The sequence below is a fragment of the Homo sapiens genome, chromosome 5 (genome assembly GCF_000001405.40).
Source record: "Homo sapiens chromosome 5, GRCh38.p14 Primary Assembly".
In the NCBI taxonomy this organism is placed as follows: domain Eukaryota; kingdom Metazoa; phylum Chordata; class Mammalia; order Primates; family Hominidae; genus Homo; species Homo sapiens.
Genome location: NC_000005.10, coordinates 143,395,126 through 143,419,174, shown reverse-complemented (window position 1 = coordinate 143,419,174; position 24,049 = coordinate 143,395,126). Strand labels below are relative to the sequence as shown.

The window sequence follows — 24,049 nt, the reverse complement described above, 5'->3', positions numbered from 1 at the left end:
ATTTCAGATATTTTCAGATTTTGAAATATTTGCAGAATACATACAGGTAGAGCATCCCTAATCCAAAAATCCAAAATCTGAAATGTTCCAATGAGCATTTCCTTTGAGCATCATGATAGCACTCAAAAAGCTTTGGATTTTGGAGCATTTCCGATTTCAGAATTTGGGATTAGGGATATTTGACCTATAGTAATGCCAAATACTGCACTAAAATTAGCAAATGTAATCTCATTGAATTGTGACAACAGCCTTAAGAGGAAACCCGATCATTATGCCTACTTAGTAGATGAGGAAACAGAGGTAACTAGGTCAAGGTCACACAACTTGGAGTGTCAGAGTCTGGATTCTTTCTAGTTCTGCCCTCGTCCAAGCCAGTTCTGTTAACACTATTCTTCCTTTCAGCATAATCTGTGTCATCACTGGAGCTTATGTCTACCTGCCTGCCACCCAGCACCAACTGTTTACCCTTTAAGTCTCATTCTGCCTCCTCCAGGAGCCTTCCCTGACCCCTGCCTTCACCTTCTGACCTGTGCCCCTTCACACCCTGTGCCCTCTTAACTGGGAAAGCCCTGAGGGCAGGGGCCATACCTTATTTACCTCTATCTCCAGCTCACTGCACAGAGGCATTCAGCAGATGACCAGTAAATATGGGCTGTCTAGTAAAAACTTTGCAGTTAGAGATAATGAAAGAAACATAATTACTTCTGTGTGGGTTGAGAAAGAAGGGAAGGGAAAGTCCAGATACTTAAGCAGAAAAAGGCAAACAGTCCAAAAGGGGAAAAGTAACTTGCCCAAATCATGCAGTTGAGGGCAGGAAGAAAGGGGGACAAAGCCAAAACCAAAACCCAGTCCCTTGTCCCAGCCCAGTGCTTTGTCTGCTACGTTACACAAACTGTGATTGTGAAATTAAAGGGTTTTTGATGGCACTGATATAAGTAAATAAATGGCTTTATGAGTTAACACATGACAAGCAATAAACTCATAAAAGGTAAATATTGACAACTGAAGATTATATATCACTATGTTTAGTGTGTGGAGAACCCAACTAGGAATTAGGAAAGCTTGCACATTCAGTCTGGTTTCTTGGCAAATCAATGAGACTTCAAACAAATCATTTTATTTCTCTGTGCTTCTGTTTCTTTTGGCTGTAGTATTTTGCTGGTTAAAGAGCACGTGATCAATGTCTATGCTTTTAAATGTCTGTCTTTATTTGAGCATGCTCAGCTGGATGTGGAAAACCTATGGTTCTCTTGGGTTTCATAAGGATCAAATCCCACAGTGATATGTAAACTTGTGTGGTTTATAGAATTATAGGACCTCAAAGCTGGGAGAGGCCTGATAAATCATATAGTGAAAATTTCCAGCCAGTGCCTGGATTTCTTTTACAGAATCTTTCTTTTATTGGACAGGTGCTCCCTTCACAATCCATGATGTAAGGAGAAAAGGGGCTTCGTTTGAAGGAAGTTAGTGTATTGTGTATGGGCGTGTACTTTCTGCTTGGGGTGTGCCTACAGGGCTATCTCACTTTCTGAAAGCGTAATAATAAGTTACTTTACCATGCATTAATTAAATGTCAGAGACCATGCTAAATGCTTTACAGAGAATATCTTTTTTAATCTGTATAAGAACCTCCTGAGGCAGATAATATTATTAACCTTACTTTTCAGATAAGGAAACTAACATTCAGAAAAGTTAAGTAACTTGCTAAAGACATGTGTCTACTAGGAGGTAGAGTCTCAAGTCTATTTCAAGCTCCTAATAAGTAAATAAATGTCTATTGAATCCAACTAATGACATCCCACTCCATATTCCCCTGCCACTGATGAGAGAGAGAAGTATAAAGTTTATGTAAATAAGACAGAAGCAATGTTTTATATAAGCATTGTGGATTTAATTCCACTAAGGGATTGATTTTTCATCTTAATGGAACTTTTTCTTCAGCTATCAAGTTTCAGTTTCAAGATCGCAAATGCTAAGAAGATATTAAAATATTTTAATACATAATTCCACTAGATCATATTTATAGGTACTGTTAATATATTACCAAATCTACTATAAACAAAACAATAAAACAAAAGGCTGGATCAATATGGAAAGTAGAGTAATAATTTAGGCCCTAAAGAAAAACTACGTAAGACATTTCTTAGAGGATTACCAGGTTTCTCTCTCTCTCTCTTTTTAAACACAGCCTAAAATAGAAAAGCAATTTATGTATTAATAAAAAAAATAGAAACCTGAGGCAGATGTAACCAGAATAGGTGAATTAACTGAAGACTGATATTCTTATTTATGTTTGTGTATTTTAAATAAAGAAGGAGTTTGACCATCTCATCTAGTTAATCATTAAAAGGAAACTCGAGCCAAACTTGTGAAGCAGGTAAAGTTTATTTTTAGACATTCAACTGGCTTCTCTTTTGGGCTCCCCTTTTCTTTTGGGGTCATCCTCCATGTCTGGTAACCTTAACCTCCCTGTCTCTTCCAGAAGGAGCAACACCCCCATGTTTTAGACCTTTACTTCTGATGTCAGGACCCTTTCTGATGCAAGTGTTAGCTAACTCCAGCTGGCTGAAGAGGAAGGAGGAGGAAGAGAAGGAGGGGGAATAATGTATTGAAGTGTGTAATAGTCAAGTCTAGGAGCAGCCCTCACCTTAGGATCTAGACATTCATATTATATAATTGGGAATCTATTTCCAGATCTCTTTGCTTTTTTTTTTTGCAAACCTCAATCCAATGGAGTCTCTAAGTGGTAGACCACAGCTGCTCCAAGCTTGCATCGTATCAGCTTAGCTATTCCTGTTGAGAAACAAGACAAGTTTCCAAGTAGTCCCAGAAAGCCAAGAATTAAGGTGTATCTGTCCCTGTCATGTGCCTATCTCTGATATTACCAGACCTGGCCCATGCAGAGTTACAGATGGGTTAATACCACCATAAGCGCATGGACCAAAGTTAGGGAAAGGATAGTTTTCCAAAGGAAATGTTAGGTCCTAGTATCATATGTGGAGAGGGGATACTTGGCAAGTAAAACAGTACCTATCTACCATGTGGCCACAACAGGGCAGATCAGGGTCCCTGGTAGGATGGAGGCAGCCATCAAGCATTATGGTATCCCTGAATAATCCCTTCCCAGTTCATATGTAAACCAATCCTCTTAAATTGTTAATGCATTTAACATAAGGATGGATTCAGCAAAACTGTATCAATAGCAAAACATGAGGGGTCTCCAGCTAGTAGCCTGTCCTGCATAGCCATCCATGACTACTGCTCTAATTGATTTTTTCTAGAATGTCTAAAGGAAGATGAAAGTAGAAAATGAGCTGTAGTGGACAAGCATTTTTAAAATGAGCCCAATAATGTAGCACTTTTGGGTGCTTGATAATTGTTGCAAATCACATTTGCCTGAGAAATTTCAATTCTATAATAATTGTACAATAGCAGAAAGATCTAGATACAAAAATATTCATTGCAGCATGGCTTGCAATAGTGAAAAATTGAAAACAATTTACATATACTTCAATAAGGAAAGGTTAAAACAATGGTATACTATGCTACTATTACCTGAAAATATTGAAAAGATGAAAAGATGTCCAATAACATTTGATGAATAAAGGTTGAAAAATACATGTAGTAAAATCTCATTTTTGTTTTTAAAAAACATATATGCATGCATGCATCCATGTATAGACAAAAAGGATTTGAAAATATACAATAAATTATAGTTAATCACATTTACCTTATGGTACTGCAGAACATCAGAACTCATTCCTCTTATCTAGCTGTAATTTTGTAATCGTTAACTAATCTCTCCCCATCCTCCCCTTCCCCCTGCCCTTCCCAGCCTCTGATAGTCACAATTCTACTTTCTATTTCACATAATAAAAGTTTTTAAAGAGGGGAATAATGGGGTGGGGGATCTGGAATATACATAAAAACTCAAAAATAATTACAAATTTGTTGCCATCAAAATATAAAAAGAAAAAAATAGTTACATCTGCAAAATGGGATTGTGTGAGGAAGTTTTTACCTTTATACATTTCTACCTTCTGTATGTTTGGATTTTTACAATAAGTATGTGTTATTTTCTAGCATCTTTTGAAGTTTTTTTCTTAAAGGCATAAGTAATATCTAAAGTTATTTTTCATCCTTCTAATGCCGTCTACACAAAGATAACGATTTTTCTTGGATGGCCCCAATCTCTCTTCTGTAAGATCTTTCCCCATTTGTCATATCCATAACTCATAACCTCCTCACCCTTCACTGCTCTCCATTTTCTCTATAAAGTGAGCCCAGTCAGTACTTGTAGGCTTGTTAAGCATTACTTCTAATAAGAAAGACTAACTTGTAAAGCAAATGTGGAAATGTACTAATATAGCATCAAGCACAAAATAGCCATTCAATAACCGAACTATTTAATTCCTTTTTTTTCACACTTCATCCTTTCCCTAATTCCAGAAAGAACTTGAACTGGGTCATAACAAAGACAAATTTAGACAGACAGATAAAGATATCTCATAGGTAGAAATAAAACTGAGTGATTATAAACTAATCACAGGAGGCTCTGTTAGTCTGATGAACAGAAACACACGTGATAAAATCACAGAGAGGTAAAATAGAAAATGAAAATCAGGATCAAGAAAAGGGAAATAAAAATATGCTGGACATCATTCAATAACTATTTGCTGATGGTAATTATAGGGATGGAAAACCCATCAGGCCTATGGAGCTAAAATTAATCAGCAAGTATTCACAGAGTGCCTACTGCTTCTATTACTGGTTCTGGCTTCCTGCCTGCCCAGTGCAGAGGCTTGAGACATTTGCGTGACATTCAGCTTGTCAAGACAGAAGGAGCAAAATAAGCAGACAGAGGCTCACTGCAGCCGCCTATACCCATCATATTGTTGGAATCATATTCAAGTGAGACAAACTCCTTCAGTGGAAGACGATAAAACTAGCTTAAAAGTTGTAAACATCACTTCATCACCCAAAAAAGGCCCAATTAAGTGGAGATACTATTTCTGCAAAGCAATCATCAATTCATTTGTGTAACATTTGAAATTTCAAAGTACAAACCCACATTCTATTAAAGGCAGGAAGTGAAACCAATAAAACTTGTAACAACTATACTTAATTTTCAGGGTTCTTTCCATTGCTGACAAACATTTTAAGTCATGTCTATTCTCTTAAAATGTAAAATATGATGTTTATGTCACTGTTAATATTTTGATAAAAAGCTATTGTCATGGACATCTGGGTTTTTTTCTGCATGCCCAGAAATCCCTTTTCTCCTATTTAAATTTAAAATCTCCAATTATTTGGAGAAGCACCTCCTCTTCTCTCTCTTTCATTTGTACCCCATTCTTAGGTGTCAGTGGTGGGCACTTGAGCTAGGCTTTGCCCATCATAGTACACATTCCTGACATCCCTTGGTCATAGTTATTGGTCCAGGGATAAGCATTTGAACCAACTAGACCAGTGAAACCCCTCCCAGGAACAACTACTAAAATTATGGGAAAAGAACTCTTTCCACTGAAGTTACTAACCTGGCAGGATGTGTTAAATCCAGGTGCCACAGGCCACCAGGTGGAGAGGTGGAGATAATCTTTCCAGAAAACAAAACAAAACAAAACAGGAAAATGAAGCTAAGGGATAAAATTTAAGCCCTTTGGACTTCATTTGAGCCCCTGAATCCAGTCATGCCTCCTGAAATTAAACTTCCCCTGGACTTTTCAGTGAATCAAAAAACTCTGTTTTTAACAGTGGGGTTTCTTATAAATGCACCAAAAAATGACCTAATGAATGTTGTCTACAAGCTTCCATTAGAAGTATTATCTTCAAGAGAAAAAAAAAACAAATAACTTGAAGAAAACCCTTCATAATTCAAGTCAGTCCTGCTAACCTCTAGGAAACCCTCCGTGACCACCATCTCCATATCCACACCCATTTTCCTAACCTTAAACACCAGATGACTTCTTGAAGCTTATGAAGTGCCCTATGCATCTAACACATTTCTGTAAGTCTGCATTGTTCTATAATGACTTGTAACCGTATCTGTCTCCATTTCCTCCAGAGAAGAGATTGTTATCATTTTGATATCCCTGCAGCCTTATACTGGGGCCTAACATATAATAGTTGCTATTTTGTTGAAGGAATTGTATTTTGTTGAAGGAATTCTCTTTTGTTGAAGGAATGAATGGAGAGAATATTAATTAAGAAAGTCTCTTCTATTAATAAACATTCCCTGATTGATTGAAACCATGCCTAAAATAGCTAATCATCAGAAGACCAAAGTAAACAACATATCCAAACTGAATCCTCAAAGTGTTAGTCATTGGTAGCTGTATAGCTGAGAATCTTTCCTTCTTCTGGTCATTAGGGTTGAAAGGGTGGGTGAATGTGGAGACATGATTCTTTCTTTTGCAAAACATTTACTATTTTTTAAACTCCATAAAATGTAATAACTTCTCTTGAAAAATGTTAAAACCCAAACAAAAAAACCTGTAATGTGGAATATAGATTGTAGGTTATAATGGAGGAAGCAGGGAAAGTGGGGAAAACTGTGGTTGCCAGAAGTTTTCTGATAACTAATAGGCAAGACAATAGGGTGGCTTTTGGTAGGGTCCTTCTTTATGGCATAGCAAAGAAAAATAGGAATGAAGAAGTGAGAAGCATGAAAGGGGACAGCAATATATGTGTAACACAGGGTGATTCAGTGTGAGAGTTTTATAATTAAAATTGCCAAATGTGAGAAAAAAAAATCTACTATAAATTGGGATAGGCTCAAGGCATGGAGATGAACAAATAACCCCTCCATGTGGGCAAAAATCAATGAAATTACTAGATGAGTAGCTTAGTATGTGAGTTCCAGTTGCAACATGTTACTGGTATTTGGGGCTTCCCCTCCCCCCTCCCCCCCTGCACTTTGAGGCAATTCGACATTTGACTAACAATCCAGCCTAACTTTCTCCATCTGATATAAAGATATTTACCTTGAAATCCTAGAACTGCCAACATCTCCTACTTCCTACTACAACCCTCCCTGACTCCTTTTCTCTGGCACAGCTTTCTATGCACTCACCCCATTCAACTAAGCCTGCTTACTCTTCACCAGAAGGTCTTCTCTTAGCATAAAAAGTTCCTGGAAGTCCATCTCTTTCATAGAGCTGCTGGATGACTGCTTTGCTTACCTTTGGCCTTCAAAATACCTCTCCTGTCCAACCATAGCTCCCCAGCTCCCCTGCCATTGCAACCAATACAAACTTCGTCATCTTTCCTTGGGCCAATGTGCCTGTCTCCTCACTGCTCTCCCTGCTTTCTCCCTTAGCCCCTACAACTCATACTCCACATCGCAAGCAGAACGAGCTTTTCAAATAGTAAATTAGATTATGTCCATTAGTGTGTTAGTAAATGTTTAACAGCTCCTGAGGGGAACAGAGTATCTATGTGTTTTATAATTTTTACATATATGTATCACATAATTTACAAAAAGCAAGAAAAAATATAACACTCTTAATAGTAAATTCTATATGGCCATGTGATTTTCACAGAACCATTTCAGTGATTTTTGCAGAATATTTGTGTCCATAGCCAACCTACAGCTAAAATTCAAACACGTTTGGCAAAATCAGACCACAAATAAATATCTGATTAATATCCAATCAGCAAAGAAGTCATTCATGGTACTGAAGTCCCAACATGAATGTTGGTTGATATTTTTACATTAATGAGCGAGATAAAAGTGAAGCAACAAAAATGGATGTTGGAACTAAACTCGTTCATTAATGACAGAAGTGACTTCTTTTGCTGATAATAGCTTTCAAGTACTAGAAAAATATTTCCTCAAGTTTTTGTGTTCACAAACTAAGGCACTTTTAAGTTCAATCTTCATTATTAAAATTTCTTCTACTCTGTCAGTCTAGACAATCAACAAAACAAATCAAGCTCTGGTTTGTCATGTTTCCCAATTTCTATAGTATAGGTACTCCACCATGGTTGATTTCAAACTACCAAAATAACATTTCTGAATGCAGCGTTAGGAAGGGATACGCTGCATCATACCATCGTATGGTATGTTCTTATACAGAACAGACAGAAATAACTTTAAGAACATAGATAATAGTAAAATGGAGTAAAATAATTAGGCAGTAAAGTCTTCAGCATTTATTTTTGTTGTTAAAATATTTGATTGTGAGTTTATAAATAATTTGGTTTTTAATAATGACTGTGATTAACAACCAACTTACAAAATCTCTGAAAATTTAACAGTCAGTGCTTGCAAGCTGGTACAATTGTTTCCGGTGCACTACTGAATTATCACTCCCCTGCCTAAAATTCCAGACTGCCCATTGCACTGATTCCCTGGGAAATAAGTGAAAAGAGACAATGATAATTTTCATTTTTGTTGTGGTGAAGTGATAGTGCAAAAATTCCATAAGCTCCTCTAAGTTTTCCAAATAAAGCTTAGTGTTTAAAAACGTTTGAACACATGATCCCATGTAAGGCCTACATTACTTCCTGTGTGATAGGTGGGGTAGATATCATTATCCTTCCTTTACAGATTGAAAAACAAGGCTGAGAAAAATCAAATGCCTACCCCAGGCTCATTCAAGTAAGTAAATGGCAGAATAGGGTCTAAAAACCAGGTCTTGTATTGAAAATTCAACAAGAGGATAGAGAAAATTTAATTGACAAATACTGATCTCAAAACAATTTTTTTTTCAATGGTGACAAATGTCCTTTGTAGCACTTTGGAGTTTGATATGAAGTATCTTCTTATCTTGTTAAGGGATCCCTATACCAAGAATGTTTTCATCTCAACCCCACTATTTCTAAGTTAGCTTAAAAACAAAACAAAACCCTGTGTGCTCTAATAAGAAGATATAAGAACCAAAATGGAAATGCAGGTTCTCAAATGAGCTGAAAGATTCCACATAGCAGCGGGGCAGATTGAAACACTCTTTACCAAAGGAACATGGGAGAGAAAAGGAGATTAAATCAAGAAAGGAAGAAAGCTAATGACATATGAGGAGCCACAAATGCCACAAATGAAAAAACAAAGTACGTAATACTTGTTGCAATTATTCAGTGTGCTTGCTCTAATGCCTCCAAACATTAAAAACATTGAGTTCCTGCTTATGGCAACATTTATCTCATTTATCTGCTGATAGCTGCCTCATCCTTGAATCAGGTATTGCTTAAACTAAGTTCTGCCAGCATAAAGAATAAAGTCAACCAGGACACCCATTGGGCATTTCACGCATATGAGCACAAATTGTGATATTTTAGGTTGCTTATGATGAAATCATTGAAAGCATCATGAAAGACAGCAAAACAGCAGGAAAGCTAGTAATAATTTAGCATTTCCCAGTCCAGGCGGGAATGTTAATTCTAATTACAACGAGGAATACCAAAGTGGAGTTCATTATGATTAAGAACTTGCTGTACTAGTGTGAATTGTTTATAATAGGCATGTCTGGCATAAAATACAAATATTGAAGCAGACAGAGATGGCTCATTCAAAGCTCAGCTGGGTTCCCTTGAACCTCTTACCTTATAAAGTTAAATAGGAATAGAAGTATTTTCCAAAGTCAAGATATTATTTTAAAGAGACAAATAATAGCTATGATAGCTGCAGGAATAATTTTTTAAAGTAAGTTCTAACCACCAATAAAAGCTGTTTGTGTGGGCTTAACATGTTCAAAATACACAATACACATGTACACAATACACGTATACATGGTTCCCATTTATATTTAACATCACACATTTAAAGTGAGAGAGTACAGAAAAAAAGAATAAATGGAAACTGAAGCCATGACAAAGAATCACGGACTATAGGAAAATAAGTCACAAAGAAGTATGCTTATGTAAGAGGAAATATATGTGATAAACAACAGGAGACATGGGAATGAATGTGGTGTCTTATGTCCTTTCTTTAACAGAATCGTGTAACAGACACTACTCAATATCGATCTCAACTGATCCAGTTCTCCAGTCTCCCTGGAAAACAATGGATTGATGCCCAGGGTGCGCTGAACACTGGAACCATGGTCACTTCTGCACTTCACACGATTCTGCTCCCACCAGTTGAGCTACCAACAGTTCCTGGTGCTTTTGCTTCCCAAACATGTTTATGCCATTTGTTGCTTATTACTGTACTTACTTAATTTGATTAAATATTAAGTAAAATGATGAAATGAGTGTAAAAAATTGTTCTATAAAATCTAAATGGAAAGATGCCCTATAGCCTTCCTTGACTTACAGTTGCGTCAAGTAAGGTGGATGTAAGACAATTTTAAAAGACTGGTGTGGGGGCAGGAGTGAGGAATCATAAAAATTTAGAAATCTGCACGAAAATTATTCTAAAAGTACACATTGAACATCCCTAACTTGAAAATCTGAATTTTGAAGTGCTCCAAAATCCAAAACTTTTTGAGCATTGTTATGATACCACAAATGAAAAATCCTACATGGAAGTACTTACCACAAACTTTGCTTCATGCCCCAAATTATTTTAAATATTGTATAAAATTATCTTCAGGCTATAAGGTGTATATGAAACAAAAAATGAATTTCCTATTTAGACTTGGGTCCCATGGCCGAGATATCTCATTATAATGCAAATATTCCAAAATCAGAAAAAAAAAAATCCAAAATCTAAAACACTTTCAGTATTAAGCATTTCAGGTCATGGATACTGAATGTGTATCTTTAATTTCTTGTTCTACTTTGTTTAAAAAAAAGGGGGAAAATAGTAATTCTACAGATGAATAATAATTGCTAATGATGAGCAAATACTTCCTATGACCCAGGAATTCGTCTAAGCACTTCACATATATCAAACTGGTTTAATCTTTATAAATCAGTACTATTATTATCCCCATTTTACAGATGATGGAAAAAGGCACAGAGAGTTAGCCTGCCCAAGGTTACATTCCTTTTAGTGGTGGAGACTGTATTTGGCCTTTATAGTCTGGCTTTTAACTGCTACACTATATCAATGCATTACAGGTATAGTTTATACACACACTAAAGAAGACATGGAACTCCAGTCAGTGGGCTCATAAAAGCTTTAGACCTTCATCAAAAGATTAGAAAATAAATGTTCAATCACAGGTTTTAGGTTTCAAAAGTTTCAAAAGTTTAAAGTTTGCAAGTTATCTTTCTTAAAATTATTTCCTTCTTTTAACTAATTTTTAAATTAAACTCCAGTTCAATCACATCCACTAGAAGGCTTCACTTTCTACAAAGGGGTAGGTAAAGGTGATGATCTTAAATACCATACTGGGAGTTGGGATCTGTGTAGCACTAGAATCAAGAGTTATTGTATATACTTGAGAAGGAGCACAGCCTGATTTAGTTGATGTTTTGGAGGGGTAATCTGGCAGTACAGCTTGGATTATTTTAGTGGGAATGGAGATGACAAAACATGAAGAGAATGGGAGAACTCACTTGGGTAATATATCAGTTTCTGAAATCAATGTATCAAGTGGTTTGGTTATTAGTCAGGCTTAAGGTTTTATTGGCCTTAGGACATAGTCTCTAAGACCATATATTATCTTCATTCATTCATTTAACCAACACCCACTGAGCACCAACTATGCACTAGTGATACAGGGGTGAACAAACAGACACAGTCCCTGCCTTTGCAGAACTTATGTTCTGGTGGGTGATACAGAGAAATAACAAATGAGGGCACAAATAATGAACTATCATTGTAATGTGCTAACAAAGTATGCAGAATACTATAAGAACATACAATCAAGAATCTAATCTAGTTTATTTTAAAAAAAAGTGGGGGGAGCACTCAGATGTTTAAACACAAAACAATAAAAATGAGGATCTTGAGGGTTATCTGTACACTTTTTATTAACCCATTTGGCCACAACAATAACCCAGTAAAAGTGATTTTACATCTAGTTAACTAGTTGACTCAATGTTATTATAACCCTGTAATGTATTTGTTGGGTGCCTGCTATGTAGTGGGCTGTGTTCCAGGAGTGGGACATAAAGCTATGACAAGATAGATCAGGTCCTTGCCTTGACTGAGTCTGAATACATCACCTTCATTTCCACCTCTGCTTCTAAGACAATCAAATACCTTCCCACTCAGATAGGGATTCATCCTATTTCTTGTAGTAATTATAAGTTCCCAGGGTTACAGATTAGTAAATGCCATACCTAAAGACTTAGGATACTGTGCATAAAACACTTTCAATAGTGTCTGTCAGACAGCAGATGCGCAATAAATGTTGACTTTCGTTAGAATTGTGTTATTATTATAATGCTAAATCTCACGTCCTTTCTGGCACACTGGAGTTCATCTCTTCAATTAAATTCCGTAAGCACATATTGTAAGTAGTCTATCAGAATTGATATACTACTTCATGTTAATGATTGAGATCAGTGAGGAAAACCACTTTAATATTGTCTAATTCCTCTCTTAATGCATAGGAGCCATGTGAACTTAGACAAGCATCAACCTCTGTAAGCCTGTTGTCCTCATATTGAAAAATCGAATAACAATACCTATCTCATTTAATTGTTGTCAGCAAAAGTGGGCAGCAGAAGAGTGGGGATCAATAAATGTTAGCCACAAATCATAACTATTTGTATTACTCTGAAAAAGAGGGGTTAACTTATAGTTCATGCATGCTTCCAAATGAATGTGAAAGACTAAAGAATGAGAATTTTTTTGCTATCAAATTAAAAAATTAACAGGCACATTTAGATTGCTGAAGAGAGAAATTAGGATAAGTTTTTTTTTTTTTTTGCTCAATTAAAAACGTTTTCAATGGCATATTTAAAACTACGTATTCTTCCCCATTAAGATCTGCAGAGAAAAAAAAATGAAGGGAGAATAATTGGGAACTCTTGTGAAATCATAAATTATTTAAGCAGAGTACCTACCACTAAGGATTTGAGCATGTATGAGCGATGAGGTGGATTCTTAGAGCAGAGATTCAGCAGTGAGACAGGCTAATGGCATGGGGAGATGTGTTCTATTAGACAACTGTATTGTCCCCTTAATTATATACATATATATGTATATAATATATATGTGTATACATATGTATACATACATGTATATATAAATAGAATTCTTAATCATTTTAAGCAGTGTACAAGGATAATTATTAGCATGGGCTATTTAACTCACTTTTAAAACGTGTAAAACATTATTGTAGGGTTGGGTCTTGATTTGTTTCCCATGAAACTGTTGGTAGTTTAGGGGCCAAATTAACGAAAGACATCTCATTCTAGTGCTTGAGGCTCAGAAATTGGAAAAACGGGCAACTAGGTCAAGCAGTGTTCTCATAGCCTCACAGATGAGCATCCAAAGCAAGGGCCTCCTTCTAGTTGACTTGTGCCAAGGGACAGGAGAAGCGGAGTCTGCCTTCTGGGTCCAGAAGGGGGTTTTGTTAACATGGAGTTGCTCAGCGCCCTTCATAAAAATTCTTCTGGCTGAGGGTTCTACGTTGGCATACGGTTGGTTCCCTCTTCTTTTCCGAGGTGGCGAGTATCTCTTCCTTTGCCAAGATGGCGGCTCCAGAATCCTCTGGAGGCGGCCCCCGTAGATCGTCTCCGGACAAGAGGCTTGCTGAAAGCCTACTTCTTTCCTTTCACATCAGACAATGCACAGGGAACCGTTTACCCTTGAGAACCAAGGAAGGACGGCTTAGGCTACCCGCGATCGCGAACCTTTGCCAAGATGGTGGCCGCGGGGACGGGCTGGCGACACTGTACCCTACCAAGATGGCGGCGGGCGGCTTCCGGGACGCGCTTCCCCAATCGTCTTCAAGATGTCAGAGCAGGGGGAGCCGCCGTCAGTCTGAGCGCGGCGGGAGGTGAGAGAGTGGCTGTGGCCGAGCGCCCGAGCAGGATTAGGTGGAGCTGCGGCAGCCCCCGCCCGTGTCAGGAGCTGGCAAGCGATGTCACCTGTGGGGGCGCAAAAGTTACCTCCCCAAACCCTAAACCCACACAGCACAACCTTTCCCAGAGTCACAAAAATCATAATCTGTGCCGCACAAGGTAGGAGGCTCGGTCCCGGCATCGTCCAAGCCTTCCCGACGCGGCGAGCTGGGGAAGGGAGCTGGGGCGGGGGCTTCCCGCACGGGCACCCCTCGCCCCACGGCCCTCTCCTTTCTCAGGACGGACCACGAGTTCCCTTCCCCTTGGACTGAGGGGGAAGCTCCTAACAGGAACATCTGTAGGGAGTTGAACGCTGGCATTTTAAAGCTGCCTGTATTTTGTTTTATTTGTAGGGGCAGGGGTCCTATGAACGTGATAGGGTGAGCAACGCACAGAGTCGAGGGCAGCAAATGTCAAGATTCGGGGGTGGGGCCTGCACCGGGAACTTGGACGCGGGCCCTGGCCGGGGTGGAAGAAGAGGTCAGGAGTTTCGGAAGGGGGGCTATATTTCGCCAGCAACTTACTATTTCGCCTGCAACTTGCTTTTAAGCCTGCCGCCCCCTGCTTTCCTTAATCATAATAATAAAAAAAAAGTGCAAAGAAATCCAGCTCGCTGGAGGTTTTGCATTTGGCGTGCAACTTCCTTCGAGTGTGAGCACATTGGGCGGGAGGGGTGGGGGTTGAACTTGGCAGGCGGCGCCTCCTTCTGCCGCCGCCGCCGCCTCGCAGACTCGGGGAAGAGGGTGGGGGACGGTCGGGGCGCGGGGGAGGGTGGGTTCTGCTTTGCAACTTCTCTCCCAGTGCGAGAGCGCGGCGGCGGCAGCTGAAGACCCGGCCGCCCAGATGATGCGGTGGTGGGGGACCTGCCGGCACGCGACTCCCCCCGGGCCCAAAGTACGTATGCGCCGACCCCCGCTATCCCGTCCCTTCCCTGAAGCCTCCCCAGAGGGCGTGTCAGGCCGCCCGGCCCCGAGCGCGGCCGAGACGCTGCGGCACCGTTTCCGTGCAACCCCGTAGCCCCTTTCGAAGTGACACACTTCACGCAACTCGGCCCGGCGGCGGCGGCGCGGGCCACTCACGCAGCTCAGCCGCGGGAGGCGCCCCGGCTCTTGTGGCCCGCCCGCTGTCACCCGCAGGGGCACTGGCGGCGCTTGCCGCCAAGGGGCAGAGCGAGCTCCCGAGTGGGTCTGGAGCCGCGGAGCTGGGCGGGGGCGGGAAGGAGGTAGCGAGAAAAGAAACTGGAGAAACTCGGTGGCCCTCTTAACGCCGCCCCAGAGAGACCAGGTCGGCCCCCGCCGCTGCCGCCGCCACCCTTTTTCCTGGGGAGTTGGGGGCGGGGGGCGAAGCGCGGCGCACCGGGCGGGGCGGCCACGCCAGGGGACGCGGGCGTGCAGGCGCCGTCGGGGCCGGGGTGGCGGGGCCCGCGCGGAGGGCGTGGGGGCAGGGACCGCGGGCGCCCCTGCAGTTGCCAAGCGTCACCAACAGGTTGCATCGTTCCCCGCGGCCGCCGCGCGGCCCCTCGGGCGGGGAGCGGCCGGGGGTGGAGTGGGAGCGCGTGTGTGCGAGTGTGTGCGCGCCGTGGCGCCGCCTCCACCCGCTCCCCGCTCGGTCCCGCTCGCTCGCCCAGGCCGGGCTGCCCTTTCGCGTGTCCGCGCTCTCTTCCCTCCGCCGCCGCCTCCTCCATTTTGCGAGCTCGTGTCTGTGACGGGAGCCCGAGTCACCGCCTGCCCGTCGGGGACGGATTCTGTGGGTGGAAGGAGACGCCGCAGCCGGAGCGGCCGAAGCAGCTGGGACCGGGACGGGGCACGCGCGCCCGGAACCTCGACCCGCGGAGCCCGGCGCGGGGCGGAGGGCTGGCTTGTCAGCTGGGCAATGGGAGACTTTCTTAAATAGGGGCTCTCCCCCCACCCATGGAGAAAGGGGCGGCTGTTTACTTCCTTTTTTTAGAAAAAAAAAATATATTTCCCTCCTGCTCCTTCTGCGTTCACAAGCTAAGTTGTTTATCTCGGCTGCGGCGGGAACTGCGGACGGTGGCGGGCGAGCGGCTCCTCTGCCAGAGGTAAGAAGCGAGGCGGGAGGGGGCCGGGGCGCGCTCGCTCCCCCGAGGTGCCGCTGGGACCGGAGACAACTCGGGGGCCGCCGCGGGAGCCTACAAACTTTTATTAGCCTCGGGGAGTGGGGGTGGGGGGCTGGCAAGGGCCGGGCGACGGTGACGAAAGGGCAGCGCGCGGGTGACAGCGCTGGCCTCTTCCTCTCCCTCCGCAGGCGTCCCCTGGCCGGGCCGAGGGGGAGGAACCTGACCTCGGACGGCGAGCGGAGCCCTGTCGAACTGCCGGGGGCTTCGAGCCTCTCATTCCTCGCGGGAATCCTGGCCTCTTTTCTCCCCCTAGTGTCCCCTTTCCCTCCAAGGGGGTCGCCCGACACCCGTTTTCGTGGTGAACGCTAAGCCGCGTCTGAATTTTACTCGCCCGAATATTTGCACGCCACCCCGGCGCGCCCGAGCGCGAGCCCGGGCTCCGGGGAGGCCCCGGCGGCGCCTGGCTTGAGGAGGGCGTGCGGGGCGCGTGAGGGTGCACACGCGGGGGGCTGACAGCCCGCAACTTGGAGACTGCGGCCGGGGCCGGCGTTATCTGTTAGAAGTGGGCGTGTCGGAGAGAGAACTCAACAGGTCTGGACGTACTTCTCTTTTAACCTCGCACTTTTTTCTCTTCTCCACCCCCGCCCCGCAAGGGCTTGCTCTTTAGCGTTTGTTGTTAATTCGCGCCTGAGGTTTCTAAGTGGCCCCTTTTAGAAAAAGACCCCCTGTAACCGTAATGGTTTTGTGCTGCGATTTTTACAAGTGCTAGTTTGACGTTTGGGGTTGCAGACTTGATAATTGCAACCTTGTAATACCACTTAAGACCCTCTGGCATGGTTCATTAGGGCCAATTAATGTGGCTGGGTTATTTGCAACTTAAACTGGGGGATAATGTCGCTTGAGGGAGCGTTTTCGTTTTAGGAAATATTGTTTTGGTTTCGGGTTTGAAGGCAGCTGTCAAAAAAGCGGCATGGAAATTCATTGGGCTCCATTCGATACCTCGTGTTTAGAGATCGTTATCGCCTCAGATAAACGGGGCAGAGAGGTGGGGAGATAAGCAGTTTACCCTCAAGATTTGTAGTGGCAAGTCCACACCCCTCTCTCTACCTTCATATTCACTTTTCAGTGAGGGCCAGTGACATTTATGCTGCCTAACGTCATCGCATAGGAAAAGTTACCTTTTATTGGACGGGATTTGACTATAGTGTCCCAAATGCGCTTCTCCGTCTTAGCCCATCTCTTAAAACACCCTGATTAACGATATACTAACAGTCTTACTCTCTTGAGAATAGGCTGAGAATTGGGATAGGTGAAGGTTTGGATAGGTGAAGGCAGAGAAAATTATTTTGAACATTTTACTGGATACAGTTGTACCTGAATTTATATGAATGTGATTTTACGGTTCTGTGTTTTTCCATTTTTCAGTACTTCGATATTTGTTTGGAAAGGAAAGAACTTAGAGATGTAATAGCATTTCATATTGAGGATCTCAAGCAATGTAAACAAATGTAGCTTAATCTAGATGTTTTTGTGAGTTATGATAAGGGTCAGCTATATTTAAGTTATGTAAGCTAACAACGTAGTGAGAAACTACTACACCTTCTCTTCTGCTCTTTAAAATCTAAATTTTAGTTGGCCTATATAAAGTGTATCTCATTTCATATATCCAAAATTTGGAGGTAGGCACATCCAGTCAGAAGTATGGGTTAAAAAGCCTTTTCCCAGCCTGTCGGAAGATAAGCAGATCAGCATTGTTTATTTTTCAAAGAAAACGTGCATGGTTCACCAGTTGGTTGTACTCAAAGGTTTGGATGTGTGACTAGCTGGTAGGAGGGAAATTTGGAAGTAATTAGGGATTGAGAATTCTAGCATAGTATTTATCAAATGTTATATGTATTGGTTCTCAGAAAAGCAAACAGCCGTGATTGAAAAGAGGTAGGAATTTTAATGATCACACTTCCTTTTTTTGAAATTAAATACTTTGACATCAACTTGAACCTTCAGAATAATCAGATGTAATGAATTATAATGTCTGTGATTAACAAAGCTACACGTTCAGTGAGCGGCAGGATGAATAGCCAAGCTTAGTTCGATACACTTTTGCCCTCAGCTGTGCAAATGGATTGCATTGTACTTTTAAATGTGGCATGCTGAATGGGAGCAGGGGACATGGCTTTTTATTCTGGAAGATAGAAACTACTCTTCTGGTAACAAAGAATTTGATTCGGAGTTAACTAAAAGGTTCATTTAACAAGCTGCCTCTTACTAATCGGATCAGGAAGATAATGTGACTTTAGAGCTTATGATGTTTTCCCCCCGTTTTTGTTTTTTGTTTTGTAGTTGATATTCACTGATGGACTCCAAAGAATCATTAACTCCTGGTAGAGAAGAAAACCCCAGCAGTGTGCTTGCTCAGGAGAGGGGAGATGTGATGGACTTCTATAAAACCCTAAGAGGAGGAGCTACTGTGAAGGTTTCTGCGTCTTCACCCTCACTGGCTGTCGCTTCTCAATCAGACTCCAAGCAGCGAAGACTTTTGGTTGATTTTCCAAAAGGCTCAGTAAGCAATGCGCAGCAGCCAGATCTGTCCAAAGCAGTTTCACTCTCAATGGGACTGTATATGGGAGAGACAGAAACAAAAGTGATGGGAAATGACCTGGGATTCCCACAGCAGGGCCAAATCAGCCTTTCCTCGGGGGAAACAGACTTAAAGCTTTTGGAAGAAAGCATTGCAAACCTCAATAGGTCGACCAGTGTTCCAGAGAACCCCAAGAGTTCAGCATCCACTGCTGTGTCTGCTGCCCCCACAGAGAAGGAGTTTCCAAAAACTCACTCTGATGTATCTTCAGAACAGCAACATTTGAAGGGCCAGACTGGCACCAACGGTGGCAATGTGAAATTGTATACCACAGACCAAAGCACCTTTGACATTTTGCAGGATTTGGAGTTTTCTTCTGGGTCCCCAGGTAAAGAGACGAATGAGAGTCCTTGGAGATCAGACCTGTTGATAGATGAAAACTGTTTGCTTTCTCCTCTGGCGGGAGAAGACGATTCATTCCTTTTGGAAGGAAACTCGAATGAGGACTGCAAGCCTCTCATTTTACCGGACACTAAACCCAAAATTAAGGATAATGGAGATCTGGTTTTGTCAAGCCCCAGTAATGTAACACTGCCCCAAGTGAAAACAGAAAAAGAAGATTTCATCGAACTCTGCACCCCTGGGGTAATTAAGCAAGAGAAACTGGGCACAGTTTACTGTCAGGCAAGCTTTCCTGGAGCAAATATAATTGGTAATAAAATGTCTGCCATTTCTGTTCATGGTGTGAGTACCTCTGGAGGACAGATGTACCACTATGACATGAATACAGCATCCCTTTCTCAACAGCAGGATCAGAAGCCTATTTTTAATGTCATTCCACCAATTCCCGTTGGTTCCGAAAATTGGAATAGGTGCCAAGGATCTGGAGATGACAACTTGACTTCTCTGGGGACTCTGAACTTCCCTGGTCGAACAGTTTTTTCTAATGGCTATTCAAGGTAAGATCAGTGTTTTTCTGTTTCTTAAGAATGGTACATTTAAGGTAGATTAATAGATGTAAATCTTCATTGATTTATATGTGTTCTCTAAAGATTCATGTGCTTTTTTATATGAATAAGTTTAAGTGGCCTTTTGAAAGTAGGAAAGGTAGACAACCTAAGTGACATCTGTACGTAACCATTTCAGGTTTTTTCCTTAAATAGTGGTTTTCAGTATCCCATTGGCCAACGGTGAGGATTTTATTTAACATTTTTAAAATAATGTTGCTCATTAACAGATATCTTAACGAAAAATTATATAAATTCAGGAGAGTATAATGTCTCATAATATCATATTGTGTTGTGCATGGTCATTCAGCTGTTTTAGAATATGTTCTTATATTACAATAAATGATACCCTTACTTACATAGTCAAAAGTTGTGCTGCCTTATTTGTAAATTCGTTAAGTGTTAGCTTGAGATTAAAGAGTTAAAAGCAGAAGTACTAACAAAGAGCCCTATTCTTCAAACTGAATCTTCTGTTAAAGAATTTGAGTTTTGAAGTTGCTAAAGCAATGCAGTGAACAGTGTACCAGACCATAGTATTAGACACAGGTCTTGCTCACAGGGTTCTTGCCATAAAGTAGACAAGTTATGTCTGCTGATCAATCTCTTTAAGAGAGGAATTGGTGTCAACATGGTGCAAAACAAAATTTTACGTTCAAATGTTCCTGCAAGTTCTCAAGTAGATAACTGATGGCCAAAATTGTTAAGCTTCAATTTTCAGCTTTCGTTTGATTTTTCTCTTTTTTTTACTCAGTCGTTTATAAGCATACTGATATTTTTGTCTGACCCAAAAAGGTCAGAAAATGGAATTATCAGAAAAAAGTTCTAAATGTAGATATACGTGTTGGTAGGGGTGAATTTCTCTACCCCGTAACCTCATCCCCAATTCAGATAAATGCTAGGTTTTATATCCATTTTAGTTGTGAAGGAAAATATAAAAATGTGGATTGTAGTGACACAAGATTGATTAATCAGCGGGTTTTTTTAAAAGAAGACATGGTAGACAGTGATTTATTTGTATGTAACTATTGAAGTTTTTTCTTAAATGTTAGTGATATTCATCGTTCCCATTAACTAGTTATTCAGATTTTTGAAAATCCTTTTTCTGTGAAAGCTATCCTAACCTGGAGGATGTCTCTTTTCTTTCCTCTGTACTTAAGAAGCTTTTCTTGTTAGGGAAATAATTTAGAATTAGATTTAGGCTATGTTCTGTTCTTCTAAAAGGCTTAGTTGTCAAAAAAAAAAAAAAAAAAACCAAAAAACCTTGGTTCTTACATGTCTTAATGTGAACTACCTCCTAATCTATTGTTTAAATAATTATCCTTTATTTAGAAGAACACTACTTCAACCTGAGTTGAAGGTTTAAAATCTTTTCAGTAAGGAGATTTGAGATCTTTATTATTGCATAAGCTGTTGTGTTTTAAATGCTAAAAGACATGCTGTGTTTTAAAATTTTCAATTGCAAATTTTTGGCAATAGAATTCGCATACTTGGTTTTCTTAAAAGAGTTAAGTACGGTTGATTTGACTAAGCTATCTGTAGGAAACTCTTAAATTGATTTATAAAACATGTAATTATACAAAGAAAAATAAAACATCTTAGGAAACTCTTGGGGATTATTAATGGATTTTGCCCTGATAATCATCATGGCATGGTTTTCATTTTCCTTACTATAAAGAAAAGGCAAGGGACAAAACTTATTTTCCATTTGCTATGAACTTTTAAACCCTATAAAATCTGGGATATAGAGTATAAGTAGATGAACATAGTTACTCTTAAATCACTAAAGGTGATTTTAATGCTTTAACTTTTATAGTACTTCATGACATAAAGTATCTTTACGTATTTTTAATTTGGGTCCCATAACCTTATGGAGGTAGTAGGCAAGGCAATGATGATGCGGCTCTTTAGAAGTTCTTTAATATCAAATGAAATTATTATTTTTATGCCAATCTGTGATTGGGAAATATAATCAGTAGTCTGTGTCCTAACAAGAAGGTATAATACTTTATACAGGGTATTTTGTTAATATTTGAAGATTTTATACCTTATGGCATTAACTTAGCACTGGGAACTATGATTACCCAAAACAAAGCTTCATCCAAATAAATTGAAACAGTGTTTCTTTTAAACCATCATTGAATTAGTCTATTGTTTCCAAACAACAGCCCTGATATAGCTAAAATTAGTTGCTTTCTCTTCTCTATATGTTACATGACTGTAGCCAAACATTTGCTATGACCAGTGACCCTGAGTGATCAGCAAATAATCAACACATTGAGACCACAACTTGAATACTGACCTTCTGACTTTACGAAGAAAAATATTAAATGCCACTAATAACTTGAATTCCTTTTAAATTAAAAAAAGTTATAAATTGCAATTTGACTTTTTAAAATGCCACCTAAAATTGTTTTTATCAGAATACTTAAAAAAAAATCCTCACTTTATTCTCTGGGGGTGGGAAGAGGCAATTCCTTCCTTCCACCACAACATTGAATTATCACATAAAATTGTAAAATTATGAATATTATGATTGAGCTTAGTAAAGCATTTTCTAAGTTCATTTATAGTAAAACAAGAGAAACCTTATTCTCAAAATCTATTCTTTAAGTAAAACAAACTAGTCATTCTAACTTAATATGCTTTTAAAAATACTGAAGTTCAGTACATTTAGCATAAACTTATTGACGAAGGCACATTTCTGCATTATTTGATTTTCAGCCTTGTTTCATTTAAGCATTAATGACAGAGGTAGAGAACAGAAATGGTTTTAGGTGGTATTAGAGCTTTTATTGGGATTATGTTGAAATTTTAGTGTTAAAAAATTGTTCGTATCCTGAAGGGAGGGATTATTGGAGAGAATGAATGATGTAGGATGAACTTGTAAATTCAGTTTTCGGCAGAGTCTAAAATTAAGTGATGATTGGCACTTAATGAAGCTACTAAAATTTATGTAGATTTTAATGTCTCATTAGTAATCGCATCTGTATCTGGTTTTATAAAAGTAATGAAATTGAAGACCTGTACAAATACAGAATGAATGAAGCAAATTCTGCTAACATCATGTTGAATGTTTTCTCAGAAAAAGAGGAAATACGAAGAGAAGAGATTTGTTTTGACTGTGATTTACCCTCACCCCCATGGATACTTTCTTTACTTCCTACCTTTTTTCTTTTTCTTTTCCTTCTAAAGATTCTGGCAATGGGTGTTTCAGTGTTTTTTAAGCTTAATATTTCTGGTACTCATTTATGTAAAGTGATTTCTGAATGTTAAAGGAGATTTCTTTTTAAATATATTTTCACTTATTTTTAGCTTTATGATGAGAATCTTATTTTTTAAATCTGTAACTTGTTATGGCTACATGATTAGTAAAAAAAGTTTTTAAAACACACTGTGTATTCAGGTGTGTCATTTTAGTGTGAAATGACTAATGCAGAAATATGTGACTAGCATGTGGTCAGATTTTATTGAAATTACTTACGATGTTTCTATGGCTAGTCCCCTTGTATTTTTATAATTGGTAACATAATTCATATGTTATTTTGGTCTTGTCTATTTGTGTTACATGTATTTTAGTCTGACCACTTTTGCTACTTATTTAATGTTTATACATTTTATGAAAGACTTATTCTGAAATATACCTTGCATAAATGTAGGTTAAATGCAAATTGTATTAATAGTGAAATGGATATGTGGGTAGAGATCACTTTAGGGGCCTTTTGAGATTTAGTGAAGGAAAGATTGGATCAAAAGGGTTTACTTTAATGTGACTGCCTAATGTGAAAGTCGGAACATCTGCATTAATTGGTTAGTTACATAAATCTTAGTCTACTCTGGCCTGCAGGTGACTGAAACAGCCCAGGAAATCTTAATTTACATTAAGCTTAGACAAGGTCTGAGGCTTAGGCTTAGTTCTTAAAGCACATTCTTTTTTACTTTAATGATTATTCCTAATTTTAATGAGCAGTGGGTTCTCATTGTGTACTAGTACTTAGGTGGGCAAATTAAATAAGCAAAATAGGTTTGTGCTGAATAGCATTTACCCTTCTGAGGACATCCTGGTAATATTTTCATCAAGAGTAATTGTGTAATGCAATATTTACAGGTATTTGCCAGATTAATGGGCACTTGTTTTCATATTTCTGAGTCATGGAAAATATACATTGATGATTCCTGTTGCATAAAGAGTTTTCAAGAAAATTTTGTTGAATTAAGCTATAACTACAAAAAAAAATCCATTACATATTGACCTTTAGAAAGGATTTTTAAAAGCCCATGCTGTCCTTATTTCTGCAGCTTCAGAGAGCCGACTGCTCTTATTTTCTTCTGGCATATTCTATTAATACTTGGGTTTTGTATTTTTCAAGTAAATAAAATATTCCTATTGAGAATTTCAATTTTAAAAAAGAAAAGGTCTACTAAGTGTTCCTTTCCCTGTTGAATTATGTGTGATCATTTCTATGCTAAACTAGATTAGGGTGT

The 24,049-nt window shown here is 39.9% G+C and overlaps 2 protein-coding genes across 23 annotated transcripts in view, besides 12 other annotated features; both read left to right on the top strand.

Annotated features, from left to right (window-relative positions):
* NR3C1 (nuclear receptor subfamily 3 group C member 1) overlaps positions 1 to 24,049 on the top strand; it is a 157,582-nt gene that overhangs the window by 16,338 nt on the left and 117,195 nt on the right. For 11 of the 22 annotated variants that reach the window (NM_001020825.2, NM_000176.3, NM_001204258.2 and 8 more), the window contains exons 1-2: positions 15,489 to 15,964; positions 18,323 to 19,519. In NM_001020825.2, coding sequence (NP_001018661.1) covers positions 18,336 to 19,519 — 1,184 coding nt within the window. In that variant the 5' untranslated portion in view covers positions 15,489 to 15,964; positions 18,323 to 18,335. Of the gene's footprint in view, positions 1 to 13,819; positions 14,026 to 14,692; positions 14,800 to 14,938; positions 15,190 to 15,488; positions 16,574 to 18,322; positions 19,520 to 24,049 lie in introns of those variants that run through there. The other 11 variants (NM_001018075.1, NM_001018074.1, NM_001018077.1 and 8 more) reach the window with 6 other exon arrangements.
* LOC128966704 (uncharacterized) lies at positions 10,614 to 14,509 on the top strand. The gene is made up of 2 exons (XM_054328421.1): positions 10,614 to 13,841; positions 14,259 to 14,509. Exons 1-2 carry the CDS (start codon positions 13,534 to 13,536, stop codon positions 14,287 to 14,289), a joined length of 339 nt encoding a protein of 112 aa, XP_054184396.1. The 5' UTR covers positions 10,614 to 13,533; the 3' UTR covers positions 14,290 to 14,509.
* Positions 13,054 to 13,820: an enhancer, noted in NCBI's record as "H3K27ac-H3K4me1 hESC enhancer chr5:142784920-142785686 (GRCh37/hg19 assembly coordinates)". NCBI's record gives its function as "activates a minimal SCP1, AML or CMV promoter by ChIP-STARR-seq in primed H9 embryonic stem cells {active_cell/tissue: H9 hESC(primed)}" and the evidence as "EXISTENCE:reporter gene assay evidence [ECO:0000049][PMID:30033119]".
* Positions 13,054 to 13,893: a biological region, named in NCBI's record as "H3K27ac-H3K4me1 hESC enhancer GRCh37_chr5:142784920-142785686".
* Positions 13,284 to 13,333: an enhancer, noted in NCBI's record as "active region_23346". NCBI's record gives its function as "activates an Ori minimal core promoter by ATAC-STARR-seq in GM12878 lymphoblastoid cells {active_cell/tissue: GM12878}" and the evidence as "EXISTENCE:reporter gene assay evidence [ECO:0000049][PMID:35858748]".
* Positions 13,654 to 13,893: an enhancer, noted in NCBI's record as "active region_23345". NCBI's record gives its function as "activates an Ori minimal core promoter by ATAC-STARR-seq in GM12878 lymphoblastoid cells {active_cell/tissue: GM12878}" and the evidence as "EXISTENCE:reporter gene assay evidence [ECO:0000049][PMID:35858748]".
* Positions 13,821 to 14,588: an enhancer, noted in NCBI's record as "H3K27ac-H3K4me1 hESC enhancer chr5:142784152-142784919 (GRCh37/hg19 assembly coordinates)". NCBI's record gives its function as "activates a minimal SCP1, AML or CMV promoter by ChIP-STARR-seq in primed H9 embryonic stem cells {active_cell/tissue: H9 hESC(primed)}" and the evidence as "EXISTENCE:reporter gene assay evidence [ECO:0000049][PMID:30033119]".
* Positions 14,294 to 14,433: an enhancer, noted in NCBI's record as "active region_23344". NCBI's record gives its function as "activates an Ori minimal core promoter by ATAC-STARR-seq in GM12878 lymphoblastoid cells {active_cell/tissue: GM12878}" and the evidence as "EXISTENCE:reporter gene assay evidence [ECO:0000049][PMID:35858748]".
* Positions 14,474 to 14,543: an enhancer, noted in NCBI's record as "active region_23343". NCBI's record gives its function as "activates an Ori minimal core promoter by ATAC-STARR-seq in GM12878 lymphoblastoid cells {active_cell/tissue: GM12878}" and the evidence as "EXISTENCE:reporter gene assay evidence [ECO:0000049][PMID:35858748]".
* Positions 14,594 to 15,863: a silencer, noted in NCBI's record as "silent region_16483". NCBI's record gives its function as "represses an Ori minimal core promoter by ATAC-STARR-seq in GM12878 lymphoblastoid cells {active_cell/tissue: GM12878}" and the evidence as "EXISTENCE:reporter gene assay evidence [ECO:0000049][PMID:35858748]".
* Positions 16,104 to 16,183: a silencer, noted in NCBI's record as "silent region_16482". NCBI's record gives its function as "represses an Ori minimal core promoter by ATAC-STARR-seq in GM12878 lymphoblastoid cells {active_cell/tissue: GM12878}" and the evidence as "EXISTENCE:reporter gene assay evidence [ECO:0000049][PMID:35858748]".
* Positions 16,394 to 16,493: a silencer, noted in NCBI's record as "silent region_16481". NCBI's record gives its function as "represses an Ori minimal core promoter by ATAC-STARR-seq in GM12878 lymphoblastoid cells {active_cell/tissue: GM12878}" and the evidence as "EXISTENCE:reporter gene assay evidence [ECO:0000049][PMID:35858748]".
* Positions 18,513 to 18,632: an enhancer, noted in NCBI's record as "active region_23342". NCBI's record gives its function as "activates an Ori minimal core promoter by ATAC-STARR-seq in GM12878 lymphoblastoid cells {active_cell/tissue: GM12878}" and the evidence as "EXISTENCE:reporter gene assay evidence [ECO:0000049][PMID:35858748]".
* Positions 20,071 to 20,140: a silencer, noted in NCBI's record as "silent region_16480". NCBI's record gives its function as "represses an Ori minimal core promoter by ATAC-STARR-seq in GM12878 lymphoblastoid cells {active_cell/tissue: GM12878}" and the evidence as "EXISTENCE:reporter gene assay evidence [ECO:0000049][PMID:35858748]".

What these genes read in the sequence shown, in the direction of transcription:
- LOC128966704 (XM_054328421.1), top strand. Translation starts at nt 13,534, where the DNA reads ATGGCGGCTCCAGAATCCTCTGGAGGCGGCCCCCGTAGATCGTCTCCG. An exon ending in CAGTCTGAGCGCGGCGGGAG is followed by an intron (nt 13,842 to 14,258) that starts GTGAGAGAGTGG and finishes TTTTATTTGTAG; the next exon opens with GGGCAGGGGTCCTATGAACG.